Source organism: Homo sapiens, chromosome 7, assembly GCF_000001405.40.
Source record: "Homo sapiens chromosome 7, GRCh38.p14 Primary Assembly".
Classification (NCBI taxonomy): domain Eukaryota; kingdom Metazoa; phylum Chordata; class Mammalia; order Primates; family Hominidae; genus Homo; species Homo sapiens.
The window spans coordinates 45,802,586-45,819,576 of record NC_000007.14 but is presented as its reverse complement, the minus strand read 5'-3'; the positions used below and the strand labels follow the sequence as shown (position 1 = coordinate 45,819,576).

At 56.3% G+C, this 16,991-nt stretch overlaps 1 long non-coding RNA gene and 4 pseudogenes across 7 annotated transcripts in view; 1 reads left to right on the top strand and 4 right to left on the bottom strand.

Moving 5' to 3' along the window:
• Positions 519 to 4,251, top strand: CICP20 (capicua transcriptional repressor pseudogene 20; annotated as a pseudogene).
• Positions 4,314 to 5,547, bottom strand: LOC112267911 (putative uncharacterized protein FLJ44672; annotated as a pseudogene).
• LOC112267918 (putative uncharacterized protein FLJ44672) lies at positions 4,314 to 9,527 on the bottom strand (annotated as a pseudogene). Its single transcript, XR_007060303.1, has 2 exons — positions 8,534 to 9,527; positions 4,314 to 7,175 (listed from the first exon to the last, which is right to left on the bottom strand). The product of XR_007060303.1 is annotated as a putative uncharacterized protein FLJ44672 (transcript).
• A 2,139-nt stretch (positions 9,528 to 11,666) lies between these two features.
• On the bottom strand, positions 11,667 to 14,348 carry LOC730234 (uncharacterized). Its single transcript, NR_146388.1, has 3 exons — positions 14,288 to 14,348; positions 12,180 to 12,237; positions 11,667 to 12,087 (listed from the first exon to the last, which is right to left on the bottom strand). It is a non-coding gene; the product is annotated as an uncharacterized LOC730234 (long non-coding RNA).
• An 89-nt stretch (positions 14,349 to 14,437) lies between these two features.
• GTF2IP13 (general transcription factor IIi pseudogene 13) overlaps positions 14,438 to 16,991 on the bottom strand; it is a 36,002-nt pseudogene continuing 33,448 nt past the window's right edge. For 4 of the 5 annotated variants that reach the window (XR_242174.5, XR_007060307.1, XR_001745191.2 and 1 more), the window contains one exon: positions 15,305 to 15,345. The product of XR_242174.5 is annotated as a general transcription factor IIi pseudogene 13, transcript variant X1 (transcript). Of the gene's footprint in view, positions 14,479 to 15,304; positions 15,346 to 16,991 lie in introns of those variants that run through there. The other variant, XR_007060308.1, reaches the window with a different exon arrangement.

The following is a 16,991-nucleotide window of genomic DNA, read 5'->3' as shown; positions in this document are numbered from 1 at the left end:
GTCAGGACAGAATCGAATAATACATTCAAAGTGCTGAAAGAAAAAAACTGCCAGCAACTAATACTATGTCTGACAAAGCTGTCCTTCAGAAAGAAAGAAGAAATAACGTGTTTCCTCGACAAACAAAGTTGAGGGCATTCAGGACCACTAGATCTACCTTAAAAAAATGCTTAAGGGAGTTTTTCAAGTAAAAATGAATGAAGTTGGGAGCGGTGGCTCATGCCTGTAATCCCATTTTGGGAGGCCGAGGTGGGTGGATCACCTGAGGTCAGGAGGTCAAGACCAGCCTGGCCAACATGGTGAAACCCCACCTCTAGTAAAAATACAAAAAATTAGCCAGGTATGAAGGCCACTGAGATCGTGCCACTGCACTCCAGCCTGGGTGACAAGAGTCCAACTACATTTCAAAAACAAAAAACAAAACAACAAAAAAAAACAAAACATGAGGCCTGGCCTTCTGCTCCTCTCCAACCCCTCCTTCTCTGGGCCCAAGCCACCTTGGCTGAGGAGGGGGCTGAGGAGGTGTGAGCCCCTGCCAGGAACCCCCTGCCCGGACCAAGTACTCGGCCCACAGGCCTGCGTCCAGCGAGGCCTCTCGTGGCGTCAGCATGTTCATGTGGAGGAATGTGGAACCTCGCTCTGTGGCCATGTTCCCCTGGTACTCCGTCCCCTTCCTGACCCCTCCCTGCAGCCACACGAGGCCCGGCAACCTGCCAGTCACTCAGTGGCCTCCAACCAGAGCAAACAACCTGCCAAGTTGGCAGCTGTTGCTCATGAGCGTCCACCAGGTGGGACAGGGAGTGTTGACCCTGCGCGGCCCCCTGGAGCCACCTGCCCTGAAAGCCCAGGGCCCGGAACCCCACACACTTTGGGGGTGGTGGAACCTGGTAAAAGCCCACCTCCCACCATGGAGGAGGAGCCCTGGGCCCCTCAGGGGAGTCCCTGCTGGACAGTGAGACAGAGAATGACCACGATGAAGCTTTCCTCTCCGTCATGTCCCCTGACACCCAGTTGCCTCTACCACTCAGATGATGTCAGGCCCAGTCCCTCAGTGCCCTGCGCAAGGAACAGGACTCATCTTCTGAGAAGGATGGATGCAGCCCCAACAAATGGGACAAGGACCACATCCGGTGGCCCATGAGTGGTGGTCATGATCTTCAGCAAGCGGCACCAGGCTCTGGCAGGGCGCACCAGGGTCACCCCAACCAGGATAACTGGACCGTCAGCCAGATCCTGAGCAAGCGGTGGTACACCCTGGGGCCCAATGAGACGCAGAAGTGCTACGACCTGGCCTTCCAAGTGAAGGTGGCCCACTTGCAACAAGGACCGAAAGAAGTCCAGCTCAGAGGCCAAGCCCACAAGCCAGGGGCTAGCAGGAGTGTACAAGGGCTCGTGGGAGCGGAGCATATCAGAGACGGGCACTGCCACTGCCCCTGGGGTGTCCTCTGAACGCCTGTCAGTTGCGGCCCAGACACTCCAGAGCTCGGATACCAAGGAGCAGCTTCTGTGGGGCAGGACGGCTGCACACAGTCAGGGAACCTGGCTCAGCCTGGCCCAAGCCTTCTCCCACAGCAGGGTACACAGCCTGGACGGCAGGGAAATAGACCGTCAGGCACTACAGGAACTGACACAGGTGGTGTCTGGCACTGCATCATACTCTGGCCCAAAGCCTTCTACTCAGCATGGAGCTCCAGGCCACTTTGCAGCCCCTGGTGAGGGAGGTGACCAGTGGGCAGCCCTGCTGCTGCCCACCTGAGCTGCTCATTCCCAGCACATGGCCGGTGAGGACACAGCGAGTGACGAGGAGCCCATGGTCATCCATGAGGAGGAGGGCGTGATGATGTCATTGCTGATGACGGCTTTAGCACCACTGACACTGATCTCAAGTTCAAGGAGTGGGTGACCGACTGAGAGTGGGGACGACTCTGGGGAGGAGCCAGAGGGCAACAAGGGCTTTGGTGGGAAGGTATTTGCACCTGTCATTCCTTTACTCCTGCCGCCCCTTGCTGGATCCTGAGCCCCCAGGGTCCCCCGATCCACCTGCAGTTTTTGGCAAAGTCTATGGTCCCACCCCGTCCTCCTCCTACACACTCCTATGCTTCCTCCTCAACCTTGGCACCCACCTCCTTACTGGGCCCAGGAGCCTTCAAAGCCCAGGAATCTGGTCAGGGCAGCAGAGTGGGCCCATGGCCCCCACCCCTGGGGATGGGGGCCCAGGGACGCCTTCCAAGGCGACCTGTTTCCTCCCAATGGATCCTGCCACCTTCTGGTGCAAGAGACCTGAAAGTGTGGGCAACCTGGAGCTACCAGGCCCCTCAGTCATCACGGTCCCTCCCAACACTAAGGCTTTCCTAGGCAGAAGCTGGGCTGAGCCACCCGGGGGGCAGAGCCTGAAGAGGAGAAACTGACTGGGCTTTGGGGGTCAGGGCAGAGGGAACCCCACGGACATGGATCCCGCACTGGAGGACCCCACCACGCTCAAATGCAAGATGAGAAGATGCTCCAGCTGCAGCCCAAAGCCCAACACCCACAAGTGTACGATGTGTGATGGGGACAGCTTCCCCTTTGCCTGTACAGGTGGGAGAAGCCGAGGACGGGCTCAGGGAACCAGAGACCGAGAAGGCAGTGTCTTCACTGCACGTGCCCTGGACCAGTGCCGGCCCTGATCATGCAGCTCTTCCAGGCCTACTGCTTCTTCCTGTCCACTAGGCCACAGCCGCCCTCCAGGCCCACTATGCACACATCCTCCCCTCCAAGGTTTGTTCTGCCCCTGCCCTGACTCCCAGCCCTGTGGGGGTCCTGACCCCACCTCACCTGGCTCAGACTCTGACGCTGCCCTGGCTGCCCCACCACTGCCTCTGCCCGAGAGTCACGTGAGGCTGAGAGTAGAGGCAGGGGCAGCAGTGGTGCCAGTTGGGGGGCGGTCCAGTGGGAGGAGCCTCAGCCTCGCGGGCTGCTCCGTGGGACTGATGACTGCATGATCTTCTGGGCACCTCACGGATCTTCAACTGCAGGTGAAACGGATGCTGGTGGTGAGTGCAGGGCCGCTGGGAGCCGCTGCATGGGTCCCAGAGGCTGGACTGGAGCAGGTGCCAACTGAAGCTGCTGGGGCAGCATGAGCAGGATGTTCTGCACACAAACCTTGGAGAAGAAGATGTGTGCATAGCGGGTCCACTGCTGCTGCCCCTGCCCTGACTCCCAGCCCTGTCTGACCCCACCTCACCCTGCTCAGGCTCTGGCGCAACCCTGGCTGCCCTGCCACTGCCTCTGCCCCAGAGTTGGGGCCTTGACAGCCTGGCTGGAAGGGGACACCCCAGCCCTGCCTCAACACCTGGGGGTCTCCATAACTACCACAGGCAGGTGGGCGACCCCAAAGAAAGATCCCAGGACTCACAGTACCCCCTGAGAACATGGACAGTATGTGGGGGTAGCAATGGAGGGCAGGATGGTTATCTTCTCCTGGGTAAAGCCATTTAATCCTTTCAGTCTGGGACAGAATAAGGCCTGCCTCTTTCTTTTGAGACGGAGTCTTGCTCTGTCGCCCAGGCTGGAGTGCAGTGATGCGATCTTGGCTCACTGCAACCTCTTCCTGCTGGGTTCTCCTGCCTCAGCCTTCCGGGTAGCTGGGATTACAGGTGCACGCTACCACGTCCGGCTAATTTTTGTATTTTTAGTACAGATGGGGCTTCATCATCTTGGTCAGGCTGATTTCGATCTCCTGACATCGTGATCCACCTGCCTCCACCTCCCAAAGTGCTGGGATTACAGGCGTGAGCCACCACACCTGGCCAAGGCCTGCTCCTCTTATATATACCCCCTAGCCCTGCAGCTGTGCCGGGGAAAGCTGGGCAGTTTCCCTCCTCCGAGCCCCTGTACATACCATGAAGTGTGGGACCTTCAGAGCTTTTCACTTTTCGGAAAATAGCTCCTGCTGGGGCTACAAGATGGAGTGTGAAGAGGGCCTTGGGCCACAGGGAGGCGCCTGTGGAATAGGGGGAGTTCATGCACCCTTTCTTTCCCCAGAGGGGCTGGACTCAGGTGAGTATGGGGGTGGGGGCTCCTGCACTTCGACACAGGCAGCGGGAGGGTTTTCTCCCCATTTCCTCTGCACTCCCAACTTGAGCTGTACTTTTTAAGAAAGTGATTCACCCTGCCTTTGCCCCCTTCCCCAGAACAGAACACGTTGATCATGGGTGGTATTTTTCATTGTGCCAAAAAGTTGCCATGACCGTCATTAAACCTGTTTAACACCAAATAATAAGGAAAATAAAATAAAAAATTCAGGCTTGGTGCAGAAACTCACTCCAAATAAATTACATACGAAAATATTTATATAATGGTAGCAATATTCCAAAATTCCATATTTTGGGATTTATACACAAAAGATAAACAAATTAGAGGCCAAAAGGCTGCCGGAAGGGAAAAACGGGGCCTGGAAAGGCCGTTGTGAGGAATGAGCTGGGCCTAAAGAGGCCACTGGCAGGCAGGAGCTGGGCCTGCCAAAGCGGCCGAAAGGCAGGAGCTTTCGACTGGGGAGGCCGCAGTGAGGCGAGAGCTAGCTGGGCGTGGAGAGTCCGCTGTGAGGCTGAGGCTGGGCCCGTGCAGGCCTTCGAGAGGCAGGAAGCCGGGCCTGCAAAGGCCGACTGGAGGTCAAGTTCTGGGCCTGAAGAGGCCACCAAAAGTCAAAAGCGGGGCCTGGGAAGGCTGCTGAGAGCCATGAGCTGGGCTGGGCCAAAAGAGGCCACTGGGAGGCAGGAGGAGCTGGGCCTGGAGAGGCTGACTCGAGGAAGTTTTGCACCTGGAGAGGCCAAGAGGACGGAGCTGGGCCCAGGGAGGCCAACTTGCAGCTCTTCCAGGCCCACTTCCAGGCCGACTTGAGGACAACTTAGGCCTGCAGAGGCTGCCGGGAGGCTGGAGCTGGACCTGGAGAGGCCGACTTCAGGACGATTTGGGCCTGCAGAGGCCGCCGGGAGGCCCAAGCTGGGCCTAGAGGAGCCCACCGACCGGAGGCCGTTTGGGACCTGGAGATGCCATCGGAGGGCAGGAGCTGAGCCTGGCGAGGCCACCGTGAGGCCTGACCTGGGCCTGGGGAGCTTGGCTTCAGGAAGTTGTGGGCCTACCAGGGCCACTGGGAGCTGGGCAGGAGCTGAGTCCAAAGAGGTTGTTGGGAGGCCGGAGTCGGGCCTAGAGACGCAGCCGGGAGGAAGAGCTGGGCCCGGAGAGGACGCCGGGAGGTTGCAAGTGGGTCTGGAGAGGCCTGGCCTCTGCCTCCCGCATGGCGGCCTCTGCAGGCCCAGCTGTTCCTCCCGGCTGCATCTCCCGGCCCACCCCCTGCCTCCCAGCAAGCAAGCTCTTTTGGCTCAGCTCCCGCCGGCGTTTGTAGACCCCGAAGTTTCTGCAGCCAAGCTCTTCAGGCCCACATCCTGCCTCCCAGTGGCCTGTACAGTCCCAGCTCTGGCAGGAGAAGAGCGTCTGCAGGCCCCACTGTTGCCTCCCAGGGGCGTCCCCAGGCCCAGCTCTCGCCCCACCGCGGCCGCCCGGGGCCATGTCCCTGCCTGCTCCCGGCAGCCTGCGTGCGGCCCTGCTCCTCCCTCACGGTGGCCTGTTGAGGCAGGGGCTCACGCTGACCTCTCTCAGCCTGGGAGGGGCCGGTGTGAAGCAAGGGCTCATGCCGACCTCTCTCAGCATGGGAGGGGCCAGTGTGAGGCAAGGGGTCAGTGTGGGAGGGGCCGCTGTGAGGCAAGGGGTCAGCGTGGGAGGGGCCGGTGTGAGGCAAGGGGCTCACGCTGACCTCTGTCAGTGTGGAGGGGCCGGTGTGAGGCAAGGGGCTCACGCTGACCTCTGTCAGTGTGGGAGGGGCCGGTGTGAGGCAAGGGGCTCACGCTGACCTCTGTCAGTGTGGGAGGGGCCGGTGTGAGGCAAGGGGCTCACGCTGACCTCTGTCAGTGTGGGAGGGGCCGGTGTGAGGCAAGGGGCTCACGCTGACCTCTGTCAGCATGGGAGGGGCCGGTGTGAGGCAAGGGATCAGCGTGGGAGGGGCCAGTGTGAGGCAAGGGGCTCACACTGACCTCTGTCAGCATGGGAGGGGCCGGTGTGAGGCAAGGGATCAGCGTGGGAGGGACCGGTGTGAGGCAAGGGGTCAGCGTGGGAGGGGCTAGTGTCAGGCAAGGGGCTCACGCCGACCTCTGTCAGCGTGGGAGGGGCTGGTGTGAGGCAAGGGGTCAGCGTGGGAGGGGCCAGTGTGAGGCAAGGGGCTCACGCCAACCTCTCTCAGCGTGGGAGGGGCCGGTGCGAGGCAAGGGGCTCAGGCCGACCTCTCTCAGCGTGGGAGGGGCCGGTGCGAGACAAGGGGCTCACGCCGACCTCTCTCAGCATGGCAGGGGCCGGTGCGAGGCAAGGGGCTCATGCAGACCTCTCTCAGCATGGGAGGGGCCGGTGTGAGGCAAGGGGCTCATGCGGACCTCTCTCAGCGTGGGAGGAGCCAGTGTGAGGCAGGGACTCATGCCTCTGGACAGGGTGTCAGAGGCATGCGTTGGGCATCAACAGGCCACCGTGAGGGAGGAACTGGGCTGCACGCGGGCTGCCGGGAGGCAGGCAGGGACTTGGCCCCGGGAGGCCGCCGTGGGGGCGAGAGCTGGGCCTGGAGAGGCCTCTGGGAGGCAAGAGCGGAGCCTGCAGAGGCTGTTCTACAGCCAGAGCTGGGCCTGTACAGGCCACCGAGAGGCAGTAGGCGGGCGCGAAGAGCTTGGCTCGAGAAAGTTCGGGGCCTACAAAGGCGGCTGGGAGCTGGGCAGGAGTTGAGCCAAAAGAGCTTGCTTACTTGCTGGGAGGCAGGGCCGGGAGACGCCGACTTCAGGACGACTTGGGCCTGCAGAGGTCACCGGGAGGCCCAAGCTGGGCGTGGAGGAGCCCACTGACCGGAGACCATTTGGGGCCTGGAGACGCCATCGGAGGGCAGGAGCTGATCCTGGAGAGGCCACCGTGAGGCCTGACCTGGGCCTGGGGAGCTTGGCTTGAGGAAGCTGTGGGCCGACCAAGGCCGCCAGGAGATGCGCAGGCGCTGAGTCCAAAGAGGTTGTTGGGAGGCAGCAGTCGGGCCTGGAGACGCAGCCGGGAGGAAGAGCTGGGCCCGGAGAGGACGCCGGGAGGCTGCAAGTGGGTCTGGAGAGGCCGACTTGAGGAGGCCCGGCCTCTGCCTCCCGCATGGCGGCCTCTGCAGGCCCAGCTGTTCCTCCTGGCTGCATCTCTCGGCCCAGCTCCTGCCTCCCAGCAAGCAAGCTCTTTTGGCTCAGCTCCCGCCGGCGTTTGTAGACCCCGAAGTTTCTGCAGCCAAGCTCTTCAGGCCCACATCCTGCCTCCCAGTGGCCTGTACAGTCCCAGCTCTGGCAGCAGAAAGCATCTGCAGGCCCCGCTGTTGCCTCCCAGGGGCGTCTCCAGGCCCAGCTCTCGCCCCACCGCGGCCAAGTCCCTGCCTGCTCCCGGCAGCCTGCGTGCGGCCCTGCTCCTCCCTCACAGTGGCCTGTTGAGGCAGGGGCTCACGCTGACCTCAGCGTGGGAGGGGCCAGTGTGAGGCAAGGGCTCACGCTGACCTCTCTCGGCGTGGGAGGGGCCGCTGTGAGGCAAGGGGCTCATGCTGACCTCTCTTGGCATGGGAGGGGCCGGTGCAAGGCGAGGGGCCAGTGTGAGGCAAGGGGCTCACACCGACCTTTGTCAGCGTGGGAGGGGCCAGTGTGAGGCGAGGGGCCAGTGTGAGGCAAGGGGCTCATGCGGACCTCTCTCAGCATGGGAGGGGCCGGTGTGAGGCAAGGGGCTCACGCCGACCTCTCAGCGTGGGAGGAGCCAGTGTGAGGCAGGGACTCACGCCTCTGGGCAGGGTGTCAGAGGCATGAGTTGGGCATCAACAGGCCACCGTGAGGGAGGAACTGGGCCGCACGCGGGCTGCCGGGAGGCAGGCAGGGACTTGGCCCCGGGAGGCCGCCGTGGGGGCGAGAGCTGGGCCTGGAGAGGTCCCTAGGAGGCAAGAGCGGGGCCTGCAGAGGCTGTTCTACAGCCAGAGCTGGGCCTGTACAGGCCACCGAGAGGCAGTAGGCGGGCGCGAAGAGCTTGGCTCGAGAAAGTTCGGGGCCTACAAAGGCGGCTGGGAGCTGGGCAGGAGTTGAGCCAAAAGAGCTTGCTTACTTGCTGGGAGGCAGGGCCGGGAGACGCCGACTTCAGGACGACTTGGGCCTGCAGAGGTCACCGGGAGGCCCAAGCTGGGCGTGGAGGAGCCCACTGACCGGAGACCATTTGGGGCCTGGAGACGCCATCGGAGGGCAGGAGCTGATCCTGGAGAGGCCACCGTGAGGCCTGACCTGGGCCTGGGGAGCTTGGCTTGAGGAAGCTGTGGGCCGACCAAGGCCGCCAGGAGATGCGCAGGCGCTGAGTCCAAAGAGGTTGTTGGGAGGCAGCAGTCGGGCCTGGAGACGCAGCCGGGAGGAAGAGCTGGGCCCGGAGAGGACGCCGGGAGGCTGCAAGTGGGTCTGGAGAGGCCGACTTGAGGAGGTTCTGGGTCCGCAGAGGCCGCCGGAAGGGAAAAACTGGGCCTGGAAAGGCCGTTGTGAGGAATGAGCCCCATGGGCCTGAAGAGGCCACTGGCAGGCGGGAGCTGGGCCTGCCAAAGCGGCCGAGAGGCAGGAGCTTTGGACTTGGGAGGCCGCAGTGAGGCGAGAGCTAGCTGGGCGTGGAGAGTCCGCTGTGAGGCTGAGGCTGGGCCTGTGCAGGCCTTCGGGAGGCAGGAGGCCGGGAAGGCCGCCGGGAGGCATGAGCTGGGCTGGGCCGAAAGAGGCCGCTGGGAGGCAGGAGGAGCTGGGCCTGGAGAGGCTGACTCGAGGAACTTTTGCACCTGGAGCGGCCGCCGAGAGGCCGGAGCTGGGCCTGGGGAGGCCGACTTGAGGACGACTTGGGCCTGCAGAGGGCACCGGGAGGCAGGAGCTGGCCCTGGACAGGCCGACTTGACAACAGTCTGGGCCTGCAGAGGCCGCCGGGAGGAAGAGCTGGGCCTGGAGAGGCCGACTGGAGGAAGTCCAGAGCCTGGAGAGGATGCAAAGCAGCAAACGCTAGGCCTGGAAAGGCTGCCCTGAGGCACGGGCTTGGCCTACAGAGGCCACTGGGAGGCAGGAGCTGGGCCCGCAGAGGCTCCCGAGAGCGGGGAGCATTGCCCCAGGAGGCCACGGTGAGAAAGAGGTGGGCCTGGAGAGCCCACTGTGAGGTAGAGGCTGGGCCTGTAGAGGCCGCCGACAGGCAGGGGCTGGGCCCGTTGAGGCCACGAGAGGCATGAGCTGAGCCTCAAGAGGCCAGTGTGAGGCAGGAGCTGACACTTGGGCAGGTTGCAAGAGGCATGAGTTGGGCGAAAAGAGGCCACCGTGAGGGAGGAGCTGGGCCCGTACAAGTTGCCGAAAGGCAGGCGCAGCTTTGGACTGGAGAGGCAGCAGACAGGGAAGAGCTGGGCATGGAGAGTCTGCTGTGAGGCAGAGGCTGGGCCTGTACATGCCCTCGGGAAGCAGGAGGCTGGGCCTGGAGAGGCCGACTTGAGGCAGTTTTGCTCCTGCAGAGGCCACTTACAGACAAGAGCTGGGTGTGAAGAGGCTGACTTGAGGTCGATTTTGGCCTGCAGAAGCCACCGGTAGCTAGGAGTTGGCCCTGGAGAGGCTGACTTGAGGACAATTTTGGCCTGTAGAGGCCACTGGGAGGGAGAGCTTGGTCTGGAGAGGCCAACTGGAGTAAGTTCAGGGCTTGGAGAGGATGCACAAAAGGAAATGCTCAGCCTGGAAAGTGTGCTGTGAGGCATTAGCTTGGCCTACACAGCACTTGGAGGCAGGAGCTGGGCCTGCAGAGGGTGACTTCAGGACGATTTTGGCCTGCAGAAGCCTTTGGGAGGAAGAGCTTGGCCTGGACTGGCTGACTGGAGGAAGTTTTGGGACCGGAGTATGCGTCAAAAAGCAAAAGTTAGGCTAGGAAAGGCCACTTCGCGGCATGATCTTGGCCTACAAAGGCAATTGCGAGGCAGGAGCTGGGCCTGTAGAGGCTGCCGAAAGGCAGGAGCTTGGCCTTAGGAGGCTATGCTCAGGCAAGTGGTGGGCCTGGAGGGTCTACTGTGTGGTAAGAGTCTGGGCCTGTGTAGGCCGACATGAGGCAGGAGCTGAGTTAGGAGAGGCCAACTTTTGGAGAATTTGGGCCTGCAGAGCCTGCCAGGAGGCAAGAGCTGTGCCTGGAGAGTCTGTCTTTTAGCAAGAGCTGGGCCTAAAGAGACCATTGTGAGGCAGCAGCTGCCTGGGAGGCAGGCAGATTCGTGGCCTGGGGAGGCCACCGTGAGGCAAATGCTCAGTTTTCGGAGGATGCTGTGAGGCAGGGAGAAACTTGGCTTTCGGTGGCCGCAGTGAGGGAATAGTTTGATTGCTGAGGCTGCCGGGAGGCCGAAGGTGGGCCTGGAAAGCTTTACTTTAAGAACTCTGTGGCCTACAGAGGCTGCCAAGCAGCTCAGCAGGAGTTGGACCAAAGGAGGTTGTTGTGAGGCAGGAGACGGGCCTGTAGACGCACTGGGAGGATGAGCTCGTCCTGGAGACGCCGAGTTAAGGACATTCTGGGCCTGGACAGGCTGCAAAAGGCAAAAGCTGTGCCTGGAAAAGTCGCCGTGGGGCATGAGCTTGGCCTAAAGAGGCCATTGCAAGGCAGGAGCTGGGCCCGTAGAGGCTGCTGAAAGGCAGGAGCTTCGCCTGAGGATGCCACAGTGAGACACCATCTGGGTCTGGAGGGTCCACTGTGAGGCAGAGGCTGGCCTGTAGAGTCCGACAGTAGACAGAAGTTGGGCAAAAGGCTGATTTGAGGAAGTTTTGGGCTTCAAGAGTCAGCCAGGAGGCAGGCACTAGGCCTGGAAATGGCCCGACAGTCATGAGTTGGGCCTAAATGGGCCACTGTGAGGGAAGAGCTGTGCCTGTTGAGGCTGCTGGCAGGCAGGCAGAAACTTGGCCTGGGGCAGCCGCCATGAGGCAAGAGCTGGGCCTGGAGAAGCCCCTGGGAGGCAAGAGCAGGGCCTGCAGAGGCTGTTCTCAAGTCAAAGCTGGGCCTGTTCATGCCACCAGGAAGAAGGCAGGCCTGGAGAGTTTGACTTGAGGAAGTTTTGGGCCTACATTGGTCGCTGTGAGCTGGACAGGAACTGGGCCAAAAAAGGCTGTTGTGAGGCAGCAGTTGTGCCTGTAGACTCAGCCCAGAGGAAGAGCTGGGCCTGGAGAAGCCCCCATGAGGCAGAGGTTGGGCCTGTAGACGCTGACAGGAGGCAGGAGCTGGGCCTGGAGAGGTCAACTTGAGGAGATTTTGGGCCTTCATAGGCCACCAGGAGGCAGCAGTTGGGACTAGAGAGGCTGACTTGAGGAAGTTTTGGGCCTGGAGATGACGTCCTGGGACAGGAGCTGGGCCTGGAGAGGCCACCGTGAGGCAAGAGCTGGATGTAGACAGGCCAGTGTGAGGCAAGACCTGGGCCTGTCTAGGCTGCTGGGAGACAGGCAGGAATGTGGCCAGGGAAGGTTGCCATGAGACAAAAGTTGGGCCTGGAAAGGCCCTTGTGAGGCATGAGCTTGGCCTAAAGAGGCCACTGGGTGGCAGGAGCTGGGTGTGTAGAAGCTGCTGAAAGGTTGGGAGCTTGGCTTGGGTGGTCCACAGTGAGGCAGATACTGGGCCTGAAGAATCTGCTGTGAGGCAGATGTTGGGACTGTAGAGGCTGACAGGAGGCAGAGGCTGGGCCTGGAGAGGCTGCCAAGATGCAGGAGCTGGGCCTGGAGAGGCTGCCAAGAAGCATGAGCTGGGCCTGGTGAGGTCGACTTGAGAAAGCTCAGGGCCTGGAGAGAAGGCTGGGAGGCAGGAGCTGGGTCTAAAGAGGCCATTGTAACGGTGGAGCTGTGCCTGTGGAGGCTGTTGTGAGGCAGTAGCCTCATCTGCAGAGACTGCCGTGAGGTAGGGTATGGGCCTAAATAGGCCATTGTGAGTCATGAGCTTGGTCTGTGGAGGCTGACTGGAGAAAGTTCTGGGCCTGGAGAGGCTGCCGGGAGGTAGGGGCTGGGCCAAAAGATTTAAGCACATTACATTTATTAGACACTTTATTTCCATTATTACACTGTAATATATAATAAAATAATTATAGAACTCACCATAATGTAGAATCAGTGGGCGTGTTAAGCTTGTTTTTCTGCAACTGGATGGTCCTACCTGAGCGTGATGGGAGAAAGTGACAGATCAATAGGTATTAGATTCTCATAAGGACAGCGCAACCTAGATCCCTCACATGCACGGTTCACAACAGGGTGCGCTCTCCTATGAGAATCTAATGCTGCTGCTCATCTGAGAAGGTGGAGCTCAGGCGGGAATGTGAGCAAAGGGGAGTGGCTGTAAATACAGACGAAGCTTCCCTCACTCCCTCACTCGACACCACTCACCTCCTGCTGTGTGGCTCCTTACGGCTCCATGGCTCAGGGGTTGGGGACCCCTGCTCAAGTGCATCCAAAACAACCCTTCCCACACCAGTCTTCACAGTGGTCAAGTGCAGCAACCACTTAGCTCCCAAGGCATGTGCCTCAGCTGGCATTTCGTCACAATCAACAGTAAGTGGTAGCTTGAGTCATTGTGAGGTCACTTCCTGGAAATCACCAGCATCCCATTTCCCACTGGCAAAGAGCTCAGCACTGCCCCCTGGGAAACCAAACCTATGCCCAAATCCCATCTGTGTGGGTTTATCTCCTGGGACCCTTCCTAACATATTAGAGTCCAATCAGGAAGCATAAACTGCTCAAAAGTTTAAAGTGGTAAAATTTAATACAGAGAATTATTCATTATAACAGGTGAACAGCATAATGAGAGATTGGCTAGCACAAAGTAAAGAGAACTCTAGAGAATATAGGACTAGCCCAGGCCAGGCATGGTGGCTCATGCCTGAAATTCCAGCAATTTGAGAAGCTAATGCAGGAGGATTGCTTAAGGCCAGGAGCTAGAGACCGGTCTGGACAATACAGTGAGACCCTGTCTCTATCCAAAAAAAGAAAAAAATTAGCTGGGAGTGGTGGTGCACACTTGTAGTCCCAGCTACTCGGAATGCTGAAGTTTGAGCCTGGGAGGTCAAGGCTGCAGTGAGGCATGATTATGCCACTACAGTCCAGCCTGGTGACAGAGCAAGACCCTGTCTCAAAGAACAAAACAACAACAACCATTTACAGACAGAAAAGAAATAGAGCTAATAAGCTAAGGGAAGATGTTGAAATGTGACAAGTAAAGTAATATGAGGTCTTTTATCTATTTAAAATAATCAAACAAAAAATGACTTACTAAATTATAATACCCTGTGCTGGCAAAGGTGCAGTGAAATGGGCACTTTCTTATACTATGAGGGATGTTTAAATTGTGTATAAGCCTTCCAGGGTAAAGCTTGTCAATTTTTAAAAATAATACAGACAGGGTCTCACCATACTGCCATATTGCCTCCTCCAACTCTTGGCCTCAAGCAATCCTCCTGTCTTAGCCTCCCAAAGTGCTAAGATTATAGCTGGGAGGCACCCAAAACCTTGTCCATTTACATCAAGGGTAAGGAGAATGTCCATTCACCATGACTCACAGTAATCTTACTTCTGGGGAGACAATTCAATCTCAACAAAAGGTCATCTGTACAAACACAGTAAAAATCTGGGGAGTAACTGAAGACAGAGTTGGTAAGTGAAATAAGAAACAGTTATAAGAAATTAAACTATGGTATCAATAGGCACCTGGTAAAAGGTCAGTTGATGTTAGCTGCTACTTTTTTGTTGTTCTGAGACAGGGTCTCACTCTGTCACTGAGGCTGGAGTGCAGAGGCCTGATCATGACTCACTGCAGTCTCAGCCTCCTTGGGCTCAAGTGATCCTCCCAGCTCAGCCTCCCAAGTAGCTGGGACTACAGGAACATGCCACCACACTAGGCTAACTCATGTATTTTTCTATAGGGATGGTGACTCCCTTTGTTTCCAAGGCCTATCGCAAACTCTTGGCCTCAAGCCATCCTCCTGCCTCAGCCTCCCAAAGTGTTGCGATTACCAGTGTGAGCCACCACACCTGGCCAGCTGCTACTTTTATCAATATTATTATTCCACTCAATTAAAAATTATTATTTTCAAGGCTATGCAACAGTATGTATCTTACAGCGTAATTGTAAAAACATATACTGTTGTCCCTCAGTATACAGAATTAGTTCCAGCCCCCCATCTCTGCATATACCAAAATCCATGCTTACTCACGTTTCGCTGTCACCCCTCTGGAATCCACGTATAGGAAAATTCCAAATATTAGTTGGGCATAGTGGCAAGCACCTATAGTCTCAGCCACGTGGGAGGTTGAGATGGGAGGATCGCTTCAGCCTGGAAGGTTGAGGCTGCAGTCAGCTGTGATAGCACTACTACACTCCAGCCTTGGACAAGAGAGGGAGACCCTGTCTCAGAAAAAAACAAAACAAACTAAAACAGGTTAGAAATTGTAATGAGGTCTGTTGGGCAAAATTCCATATAAGCAAAGTATAAATTAATAAAGCAAATGGTGATAAATTAGTATGATTGACTTTCTGGAGTTTCTGACAATAAAAGTAAGGAAAATGCAAAACACAAAGACAGAGAGTAAAAAGAGAAATTAGGAAAGCATTCTACATGTTTAATAGGAAGACACTGGCCATGTTCGTGCAGCGGCAGTATGTCATGATATGACATACCTTGGAGAGAAGTTAACAGATGAGGAAGTTGATAAAAATGATCAGAGAAGCAAAATACTGGTAGCGACACTCAAGTAAACCATGAAATTTCCATAACTTATGTCAGCAAAGTGGGAATATTGTACAGTGTGTGTTGAAGTTCCTATACAACATTGTTTATCTGCCTTTTGTTTGTTTGTAAGGAATGTATATACTAAAAGTTCTTCTTGCTATCAAAAGAATATGTGTGAATAAGTCATTTTAACTTATTCTTCTGTTTTATCTTCCTGCCATCATCCCACAGCCTTACTTTAGAAATTTTTTTTTTAGAAAATTGAACAAGTGCTCCTTGTGATGGCACATACCTCTAGGATGGGAGGCAGGGGTGGAAGGGTCACTTGAGGCCATGAGTTTGACACCAGCCTGGCCAACAAAGTGAGACCCCATGTCTACAAAACAATTTAAAAATTAGCCAAGTATCGTCATGTATATCTACAGTCCCAGCTACTCAGGAGGCTCAGGTAGGAGGATCCTTAGCCCAGGAGTTCAAGGCTGCAGTGAGCTGTGATAGCACTACTGTACTCAAGCCTGGGTGACAGGGTGAGACCCCATCTCCTAAAATAAAAAACAAAGAAAAAAAATAGTTCAAGTAGCAAGTTGTATGTGGCTTACTCTGAATATTTCTAAACTAGAAATTCTCAATCTTTTGGGGTCTAACATCCCTTTACATTTTTTAACTTTATTGAAGAACTCTAAGACTATTTCTTTCTGTAAATAATTATATTAAAACTAGAAAATAAGACAAAAATTTTTAAATATTATTCATCACATATTAAAGCCATTACATGTTGATATAATACAAGATTTTAAAAATATTTAATATTCATCACATATTAATAATAAAACCATTACATGTTGATATAATACTTTTGTTTTTTTCTTTGAGACAAAGTCTTGTTCTTTTGCCCAGGCTGGAGTGAAGTGGCGCAATCTCAGCTCATTGCAACCTCCGCCCCGCAGGTTCAAGCGATTCTCCTACCTCAGCCTCCCAAGTAGCTGGGATTACAGGCGCCCACTACCATGTCCGGCTAATTATTGTATTTTCTTAGTAGAGAAGGAGTTTTCTTAGTAGAGAAGGCTGGTCTTGAACTCTTGACCTCAGGTGATCCATCCGCCTGGGTCTCCCTAAGTGCTGGGATTACAGGTGTGAGCCACCGCACCCACCCCGATTAATATATGTTTTAAAACACTGATTAGACATGCAACAACACCGGGCAGGGGTCTCCTCATTCCCAGCGACACAAACCCCACTGCACGGCTGAGGGGTTGCAAGTGCTGCAGAGCCAAAAGGCTCTGACTTGAGATTTCATTATTTTACTTGTATTTTTATTTGTATTGTGAGACAGGTCCTGCTCTGTCACCCAGACTGGAGTGCAGCTGTGCACTTACAGCTCACTGCAGCCTCGACCTCCTGGGCTCAAGCCATCTTCCTGCCTCAGCTCCCCAGTAGCTGGTAGTACAGTTGAGTGCCCCCATGCCTGGTTATTTTTTTAATTTTTTTGTAGAGTGAGGGGTCTTGCTATGTTGCCCAAGCTGGCCTCAAACTCCTGACCTCAAGAGATCTGCCCACTTCAGCCTCCTGAGTAGCTGAAACTACAAGTACACATCACCATGCCTAGCTACATTTATTTAATTTTGAAAAATATTTTTGTAAAGAGCAGATCTTGCTGTGTTGTCCAGGCTGGTCTTGAACACCTGCCCTTAAAAGATACTCCCACCTCTGCTTACCAAACAGCTGGGACTACAGGCATGAGCCACTGCAATGAGCCTGAAGAGATTTCTTTAATCTAGCATCCCATACTTGGTAGGATTGGGAAAGGCAGTAGTGTTTTTTAAAATTACTTAATAATTTCAGTAACAATCAAACTCAACCTTGACCCCTGCCTTCTCTCACACCCCATATCCAGTCTGTCAGGAAATCCTGTTGACTGTCTTCAACATGTACTAAAGATCCCCACCCAGTAACTCCCTGGCCTCCTCCCCTACTTCTCCCCTCTGACCATCTCTCAACACCACCACGACCCTGGTCAGGACCACCATCATCTCCCGCCTGGATGTTGCCAAAGCTTGGCCCCCATGCTTCTACCCACATCTTCCCACAGTCTTTCTCAACTCAGCAGCCAGACAATGCTTTTAAATTGGGAGACAGATCATGTCACCTCTCTGCTCAGAACCTTCCCGCAGTTCCCATCTGAGTCAGA